The 9936-nt window shown below is 43.0% G+C and overlaps 2 pseudogenes, besides 1 other annotated feature; both read left to right on the forward strand.

Annotated features, from left to right (window-relative positions):
• On the forward strand, positions 351 to 718 carry RPL31P30 (ribosomal protein L31 pseudogene 30; annotated as a pseudogene).
• Positions 1019 to 1068: a silencer, noted in NCBI's record as "silent region_11532". NCBI's record gives its function as "represses an Ori minimal core promoter by ATAC-STARR-seq in GM12878 lymphoblastoid cells {active_cell/tissue: GM12878}" and the evidence as "EXISTENCE:reporter gene assay evidence [ECO:0000049][PMID:35858748]".
• On the forward strand, positions 1768 to 3804 carry LOC100533678 (serine and arginine repetitive matrix 1 pseudogene; annotated as a pseudogene).

Raw genomic sequence — 9936 nt, forward strand, 5'->3', positions numbered from 1 at the left:
ATGTTGACCAGGCTGGTCTTAAAATCCTGACCTCAGGTGATCCGCCTGCTTTGGCCTCCCAAAGCACTGGGATTACAGATATGAGCCACCACGCCCAGCCAAGTTAGACATTATAAAAGAAAAATAACTAGAAAAGCCTTTTTAGTTGGGAAATTTAAAACTCTTCAAAAAACAATTTGTGCATTACAGAAAAAGTCATGGCAGAAATTATCTAGAGAGTCAAATAACAACAAAAATACAATGTGTCAAAATGTCTTAAATGTAAAATGGTGCAGCCACTTTTTAAAAGTTTAGGCCTTCTTTCTCCCACCGTCCCTCATGTTCTTCCTTTCCATCTTGGGCCTGGCAGAATGGCTCCTGCAAAGAAGGGTGGCAAGAAGATGAGCTGTTCTGCCATCAACAAGGTAGTGACCCAAGAACACACTTGGGTCACTAGCTCACATCCATGGAGTGGGCTTCAAGAAGCATGCTCTGTGGGCATTCAAAGAGATTCAGAAATTTGCCATGAAGATGGGCACTCCAGATGTGTGCATTGATACCAGGCTTAACAAGGCTATCAGGGCCAAAGGAATAAGGAATGTCCCACACCATGTACATGTGCGATTGTTCAGAAAACATAACAAGGATGAAAATTCACCAAACAAGCTCAATACTGTGGTTACCTGTATACCTGTTACCACTTTCAAAAATCTAGATAGTCAGTGTGGATGAGAACTAACTGCCAATTGTCATATATGTCAAATAAAGCTATAAACCCGCTAAAAATAATTGTGACGGCTCCTCTGAAAGTTGAATATACAATTACTATATGACTCACTCCTAGGTATATACCAAAGATAATTGAAAACATGTTCACACAAAAACTTGTGCAGTGTGGAAGAAAATGAAGTAACTAAGGTGAAGGCTTTCTAAAGTGGAGTCAGGAGATTGCTAGGGGATTGCATTCACACCTGCTAAAAAGTCAAACCACCGAATAGACCTGTAGAAACAACTGAAGTCAGTAAGTATCTGCCAGCCTTCATCATCTCTCAGCGTGAGTACCCTAATTAACCAACCAATCAGAATGGGTTTGAGATTTAAGAGTTCTACCCAGCCAATGAACTGCCTCTGAAAACTTCTTGTGGGAATCCCCTATTTAAAAAACCCTCTCCTGTGCTTGCCTTATGAGACACTATTCAGGGCTGCTCTGATTCACTGTACGTGAATTGCAATTCTTTGTTTCTCAAATAAATTAAATGCTATTTCCTTTGACCTCTGTGTCTCAATCTTTTTTCTTTTTTTTTTTTTTTTTTTTTTTTTGTCGCCCATGCTGGGATGCAGTGGCATGATCTCAGCCCACAGCAACGTCTGCCTCCCGGGCTTGAAAGATCCTCCCATCTCAGCCTCCAGAGTAGCTGGGACTGTAGGCGCGGGCCACTACACCCAGCTTATTATTATTATTATTATTTTGTAGGGTTTCACTTATGTTTTCACTTATGTTGCCCAGGCTGGTCTCGGGCTCAAGCAATCCGCCCTCCTCAGCCTCTCAAAGTGCTGGGATTACTGGCATGAGCCACCATGCCCAGCCTCGATCTTTGTTGTAGTTAACACAAATGTTCAAAGCAGCATTAATAGGAGCCAAAAGATGGAAACACTTCACATGTCCTTCAGCTGTTGAATGGATAAACAAAATGTGGTGTATGCATATAATGAAATGTTACTGAGCCACTCCCCCAACAAGTGGGCTTTCCCTCTGGTCCAGGAGGTCCAGTGCACTTTGGGTTAGGCAGCAATCTCAGAGCTCAGAAGCAAAATGACCTTCCAAGAAACAAGTGCAAGACAAGATCATTGGTTCAGCAACAAATAGATGCTACTGAAGGAGCTGAAATTTGCAGGATGCCTAGAAAAAAGGCAGACATAAGCAAAGTAAATTTGGAGGCTAATAAAGACTTAGATAACAATATGAATAATGGAAATCCTTGGGTTTGAAGAAGATGCCGTGATTGAGTTTATATTCAACCAGGTGGAAGTGGAGACCTGAACCAAAATGGAAGTTATTCCTTGCATCTCAAGTATAACATCATCATTGTATTAGGTCTCAGCAAAATGAACATCCCAATGTCACACTGCACTCCCTTATGTGTTTGGAAAATCCAGACTCCAAAATGATACAAAGCAATCTGACTGGGTTTTTGAATGAAATTACTAGAGAATTATGGGAGAACTGTAGTCCCTGCTGTTAAACGCACAAGAAGACATCACTGGAATCTCTTCTGCTTTCCTAGAACTGAAGAAAGAAGAAAAAAAAAAAAAACAGAGACAGACAGAACAAGAAAAAAAAAACCTGGTGTCTATGAAAAAGCAATATAAGGAGAAAAATAAGGATAAAGAAGAAAAAAGAAAGCAGAGAAAAAGGGGAGAGGTCTTAAAGCCCAAGAAAATGTAAATTCAGATCTCCTTCTCCTAAAAGAGGATCCTACCCTGTCAGGAGCAAGAGAATGCACAGTCATTTTCAATCTCCCCATCACAGAACCAAGAGGCAGAGACCTTCCCCAGCTGCAGAAAAGGAGAAAACTCCAGCGCTACCAGAACCTTTCAAGAAAGTGAAAGAACCTAGTACAAAAGGCCACTTCTACTAGTGCCATCTGAAAGTTCCCAAACCTGCACTTGTACCAGAGCAAGTAACGAACCTTCTCCAGAAACAAACAAATCTGAAAAGTTAAAGAAGATTCAACCAAGATCTCTGTCATTTTCCAAATCATTATCACAGATGCGTCTGGCTTTCCTTATCATACTTGCTTTAGATGGCGCCATTGATCCCATCAAGATGATATTCACCTACAAGAACAGCAGAGTCAATAAAGTGGCCATCTCCTTGAAGGATTCCACCAAGCCATAGCGGGAGCAGATCTCCAGTGAGATGAAAAAGGCACTCATCAGCATCGTGTGTAGGAGTAGCTCGTTGTCCTCTTGAGAAGCTTCCCAAGACGACATCCAGCGCCCCCTGAAAAACTAGTAAGTTCTTTCCTTCAGCAAATCCTTGAAGGTGAATGTGCACTGGCTGTTGCCTCCAGCAACTCCACTGCCAAAAATGCATCATTCCCCAATACCCCAGCAGCCAACTATATAAGAAAAAGTTGTGGTTTTGCAGCTCCACGAAGAACTTAGTAAAGTGACAAAATGTGAAGGTACTTAGAAAAAGAGTCCCCTTCATCAGCACCCAAAGCCTAGAAAAGTTGTTATCCGAATCAGAAGATAAAGGTAGCAAAATGGCTGCCACAGATTCTGTGCAGCAAAGATATCAATATAGATGACAAAATTAGCAGTCTTCATCTGACTCTGCTCCTCTCCTCAGATGATGGTGAGCGACTCAAGAAGTCCCGTGTGAAAAATAGGCAGGCAGGCAGCTCCCCAGAGTGCCTCTTCATCACCGTGAAAGCACCGGAAGACATCCTCTTATGCTAGACGGAGGAGAAGTCCCTCCCCAACACCCACCAGAAGGCACATTTTCCTTCTTTCACTCCTCCTCAGCTGCAGCGCAGGTCTCTTGATACCACCACCAGGAAGGGCTGCTTTTCCTTCCCACATCAACACTCACCTTCCTCAAGAAGATACTCTCCTCCAGAACAGAGGAGATACTCTTCTTCTCCACTTCACCTTCCAAAACAAAGGGCATCACTTTCTCCACCCACAAAGCACAGGATCTCCCATTCTTCACTTCCCAAACAAAGGATTCCCCAAGTCCCCAAGAGATGTTCTCTTTCATCATCATCAAAGCACAGGAAAGGGTCTACCTGGAAGGCACAGCTACCACAACCAAATGAAGCTCCTCAGACCTCCTCAAGTCCTATCCCGTCTGTCTCACGATCTCCTGAGCCAGAAGCTGAAAAAGAAAAAACAAAACACAAACAACCCAGAATCTCCATCCTCTGTCCAGTCTTAGTCATCCTCTACTCTACAAACTGGTCACCAGTGTGACTGCTCAAACATCAAGCCCACCACAAGCAAGGAATTCCTATGAAGAAGGAGTCAGAAAGACAAAGAATGGGACAAGCAACATAAAAAGTATAAAAAATACATGAAGCACAAAAAACATGAGAAGGAAAAGGCTGTGGTGGCAGCTAGCCTTAATGGCCTAATGGCTGTAATTCCTGAAGCCATTGCTGTTCCCACAACAACTCTGGTGCTGTTCAGCACAAGAAAAGATCTCAGATCTTCCCCTGAGATCAAATGGGGAAGGCTCAAATGCTCCCAAAGTCTTAGATGGAAATGTCTGTTATTGTGTAAATTTTATTTGGTTTGTATGCAATTAATTTCAAAATTGCAAAACTGTGTTTGAGCTTCAGACTATAACATTTGTTGTAATAATTGCTATGTTTGCTGGGTGCAGTGGCTCATGCCTGTAATCCCAGCACTTTGGGGAGCCGAGGCAGGTGGATCACCTGAGGTCAGTTTGAGACCAGCCTGGCCAACATGGTGAAACCCCGTCTCTACTAAAAATGCAAACAAATTATCCGGGCGTGGTGGCGGGTGGCTGTAACCCCAGCTACTCAGGAGGCTTAGGCAGGAGAATCGCTTGAACCCGAGAGGCGGAGGTTGCAGGGAGCTGAGAACGCGCCATTGTACTCTAGCCTGGGTGACAAGAGTGGAACTCTGTCTCAAAAAAAAAAAAAAAAAAAAAAAAAAGAAAAGAAAAGAAAAGAAAAAAGAAAAATTGCTATGTTGAAGTTCACCATGTTTAAAAAAAAAAAAAGATGCAGGGGTTTACATTGAAAAAAAAAAAAAAAAAAAAAAAAGGCATGAACTTCTGATACCTGCTCCAAGGTGGATGAACCTTAAAATACAATGCAAAGTAAAAGGTGCCAGACACAAAAGGCCACATATTATATGATTCCATTTATATGAAATGTTCAGGATAGGAAAGTTCATAAAGACGGAAAGTATTTAGTGGTTGCCAGCGGCTGCAGAGAAAGGAAATGAGGTGTGATTGTTAAGGAGAATGGAGCATCTGTGTGGGAGGATGAAAATGTTCTGGAATTAGATAGTGGTGATGGTAGTTGTACCACCCTGAACATACTAAAAACCACTAAATTGCATACAAAAACAAACAAACAAACAAAACCTTAAAAAAGTGTTTTGTTGGCCAGGTGCAGCGGCCCACACCTGTAATCCCAGAACTTTGGGAGGCTGAGGCAGGCAGATCACTTGAGGTCAGGAGTTTGAGACCAGCCTGGCCAACACGGCAAAACCATTTTAGTCTCTATCAAAAATACAAAAAAAGTTAGCCGGGCATGTTGGCGTGCACCTGTAATCTCAGTTACGGGGGAGGCTGAGACAGGAGAATTGCTTGAACCCAGGAGGCAGAGGTTGCAGTGAGCTGAAATTGTGCCACTGCACTCCAGCCTGGGTGAATGAGTGAGAGTCTGTCTAAAGAAAAAAGAAAAAGTGTTCTGTCTTTTGACAATTTGACTAGGAGGATCTAAATATGGATCTCTTTAAGTTTGTTGAGCTTCTTGGATGAGCAGATTCATATTTTTCATCAAATTCAGGGAGTTTAAAGTACTCATGGCTGGGCACGGTGGCTCACACCTGTAATCCCAGCATTACGCCTATAATGCAGTGGATTTGGGAGGCCGAGGCAGGTGTATCACCCGAGGTCAGGAGTTCAAGACCAGCCTGGCCAACATGAGGAGACCCTGTCTCTACTAAAAATACAAAAATTAGTTGGGCGTGGTGGCGGGCACTTATAATACCAGCTACTTGGGAGACAGAGGCAGGATAATCACTTGAACCCAGGAGGCAGAGGTTACGGTGAGCCAAGATCGTGCCATTGCACTCCAGCCTGGGCAACGAGAGCCAAACCGTCTCGAAACAACAACAAAACAAAACAAAACAACTCATTCTGCCCCTTTTTCTCTCTCATTTCTTCTGGGACTCCCATTATGAGTATGTTGGAACACCTGATGGTGGTGGGGGGGGTCCCACAGGTCTCTGAGGCTTTGATCATTTTTCTTCATTCTTTTTCTTCCTGTTCTTTCAAACCTGGTCATCTCAGTTGACCTACCTCCAAGTGTGCTGATTCTCTTCTGCAAGTTCAAATCTGCTGAGTGCCTTCAGTGGATTTTTCATGTCAGTTATTGTACTTTTCAACTTCAGAAGTTTTGTTTTTTAAATTATAATTTCTATCTATTGATATTCTCTTTTTGCAAGACATCATTCTCATGAATAATTTGGTTAGGTCTTTAACCCTGGTTTCCTTTAGTTCTTTGAATATATTTATAGTAGCAGATTTAAAATCTCTATTATATGCACAGCATCCGGGCTTCCTCAGGGACAGTTTATATTGACTGTTCTTTCCCCCCATATATGAGCCATACTTTCTTGTTTGTGTAGCTCAAAATTTTTGCTAAAAACTAGACATCTTGAACATGCCAGCCCCAGATGTTCCCAGTTAAATGCAGCCACATACGTGATCTCAGAAGAACTGCCCATCTGTGTCCAGGTGCCCCACAAAATCATATGAAATAATGTTTAAAGCCACTAAGTTTGAGGGAGGAGTTGGTTATATATGAATTGATCACTGATACACCATTCTACTACACAGACATTGAGTTGTTTACAGCTTTTCATTATTACAAAAACAAGTTTTTAAGCTACCCCTTGCATACTGATGGGACAGCTATATGTTGTCATCCATCCTCCGGAGATCCTTATGGGATCAGGCTTAGGCCAGATTCCAGAGGAAACCTTAAGATTGCTTCACTTCTTCCCCTATCTTGTGCTGCTTCTCTCCCTTCTAAAACTCCGTTTTAGATTTATCTTGATGCCACTTACTTAATACATTAAAGAGAAAAAGTTACATGGAAAATTTGAGAAAGTAATGGCTACTTTGAAAATAGAGATCTTAGTTACACTGGGATTATGGGTGCATTGGCTCATGCCTGTAATCCCAGCACCTGGGGGACAAAGCAGGAAGAAGTATAGCTTGAGCCCAGGGGTTCAAGACCAGCCTGGGCAACATAGTGAGACATCAGCTCAAAAAAAAAAAAAATGTGGCTATGGGCCCAAGCCCATACAATTCACTGGTCTTACCATGTTCCCCATCACTCTGATATAGCTTTTTGTTGTTTTTTTTGAGATGGAGCCTCGCTCTGTTGCCAGGCTGGAGTGCAGTGGTGCAATCTTGGCTCACTGCAACCTCCGCCTCCCAGGTTCAAGTGATTCTCCTGCTTCAGCCTCCTGAGTAGCTGGGACTACAGGCACGTGCCACCACACCAAGCTAATTTTTGTATTTTTAGTAAAGACGGGGTTTCACCATCTTGGCCAGGATGGTCTCTATCTCTTGATCTCGTGATCTACCTGCCTTGGCCTCCCAAAGTGCTGGGATTACAGGCATGAGATACGCCTGGTTTTAAAGAACAGTGGAATAGCTTTTTAAGACTCAATTACAGTGCCAGCTAGGTGGCAACACTTTGCAGGGCTGGGACATTCTCCAGAAGGCTGTATACTCTGAATTAGCACCCAATATACAGTGTTGTTCTCTCATAGCCATAATTCATGGGTCTAGGAATCAAGAGGTGAAAATGGGAGTGGTACCATTCACTACTACACCCAGTGACCCACTAACACAATTTGTGCTTCCTGTTCTTGTGACTTTGTGCTCTCCTGGTCTAGAGGTCTTAGTTCCAGAGGGAGGGATGCTTCCACCAGGAGACATAACAAAGATTCCACTGAAATGAAAAGTTAAGTTGGCCAGTTGGCCATGTTTGGCTCCTTATGCACCTTTGAATCAACATGCAGAGGGACCTACAGTGCTGGCTGGGGTGATTGATACTGACTACCAAGGGGAAACTGAACTACTTCTCCACAATAGAGGAAAGGAAGAGCATGTCTGGAATACAGAAGATCCCGTAGAGTGTCTCTTAGTATTACCATGCTCTGTGATTACGGCCAATGGAAAATAACAACCGCCCAAATAAGGTAGAACTACTAATAGCCCAGGCCCTTCAGAATGATTTGGATCACCCCACTGAGGAAAGGACCACAACCAGTTGAGGTGCTTGCTGAAGACAAAGGGAAAACAGAGCATGTAATAGAAGGTAGTTATCAATAGCAGCTACAACCAAAATCACATTACAGAAACGAGTGCTGTAATTGTCATGAGTAGTTCCTCACTTGTCATGAGTATGGATGTGGATATATATACATATACTGTCCTCTCATTATTTCCTTATCCTGTAATAATGTAAGGTGTATTTTTTGTATTACAGTATTTTGGTTATGGGGCATCAAGAAGAGTAAAACTTCACTCAGTGACTTTAACTCTTCTTCTGAGGAAGGGGTTAGTGTGTTTTTGGTCCTACACAGGATAGTTGTATCATGTCAGCTGGATTTATGACCATGTTATTACCTTATTTGACGGTTTAAGTATGGTTTAAGATGTATGGCCGGGCGCGGTGGCTCATGCCTGTAATCGCAGCACTTTGGAAGGCCGAGGCGGGTGGATCACGATGTCAGGAGATTTGAGACCATCCTGGCTAACATGGTGAAACCTCGTCTCTACCACAAATACAAAAAATTAGCTGGGCATGGTGGCGGGCACCTGTAGTCCCAGCTACTCGGGAGGCTGAGGCAGGAGAATGGAGTGAGCCCGGGAGGCGGAAATTGCAGTGAGTCGAGATCGCACCACCGGATCTCAACTGGGTGACAGATCGAGACTCCGTCTCAAAAAAAAAAAAAAAAAAAAAGATGTATATGATGGCCAAGTTGACAGTGGGTAGATTTATGATGCCTAATGTGTCAACCTGGCCAAGGGATATTTGGTTAAAACATTTCTGGGAGTGTCTGTGAAGGTGTTTCTGAAGGAGATTTAACATTTGAATTGGTGGACTGAATAAAGCAGATAGCCCTCCCCAGTGCTGGTCAGCATCATCCAATCTGTTGAGAGGCTGAGTAAGAAAAAGGTGGCTGGGTGTGGGCTCAGGCTGGGCATGGTGGCTCACACCTGTAATCCCAGTATTTTGGGAGGCTGAGGCAGGTGGATCAACTGTGGTCAGGAGTTCAAGACCAGCCTAGGCAACATGGTGACACCCCGTCTCTACTGAAAAAAAAAAAACAAAAAACCAAAAATGAGCTAGATGTGGTGGCACGTGCCTGTAATCCCAGCTACTAGGGAGGCCGAAGCACGAGAATGGCTTGAACCTGGGAGGCGGAAGTTGCAGTGAGCTGAGATCACACCATTGCACTCCAGCCTGGGCGACAAGAGCAAAACTCCATCTCAAAAAAATTAAAAAAAAAAAAAAGACACTCTAGAGCAAGCTTGTCTAACCTGCAGCCCACAAGCCACAAGCAGCCCAGGACAGCTTTGAATGTGACCCAACACAAATTCGTAAATTTTCTTAAAACATTTTATATATGTATTTTTTTTTTTTTTAGCTCATTAGCTATTGTTAGTATTAGTGTATTTTATGGTTTGGCCCAAGAGAATTCTTCTTCCAACGTGGCCCAGGGAAGCCAAAAGATTGGACACCCCTGCTCTAGAGATTGTCAGAAAAATCTGAACACGGATTGGGTGTTGGACATTACAGAACTGTTTTCTTACAATTGTTTTCTTTTTTCTTGAGATGGACGTATTAATACAGTACTTCATAACCATTTAACATGGGTAAAACTTATTAGGCTTCCTTTGTGCTAAAGTTTTTGGGTGTTGTCTCCATTTTGCATACTGCAATGACTTCTGTTACCTAACTATGTAACAAAAGGTCAATTAATAGCTAAATCTAAGTGGAGGGTAATACAATGTTCATACTACTCTTGAAACCTCCCCAGTAGCTGGGATTACAGGTGCCTGCCACTATGCCCGGCTTTTTTTTTTTTCCTACCTTTAGTAGAGACGGGGTTTCACCATGTTGGCCAGGCTGGTCTCAAACTCCTGACCTTGTGATCCACCCGCCTCGG

The sequence above is a fragment of the Homo sapiens genome, chromosome 2 (assembly GCF_000001405.40).
Source record: "Homo sapiens chromosome 2, GRCh38.p14 Primary Assembly".
In the NCBI taxonomy this organism is placed as follows: Eukaryota; Metazoa; Chordata; class Mammalia; order Primates; family Hominidae; genus Homo; species Homo sapiens.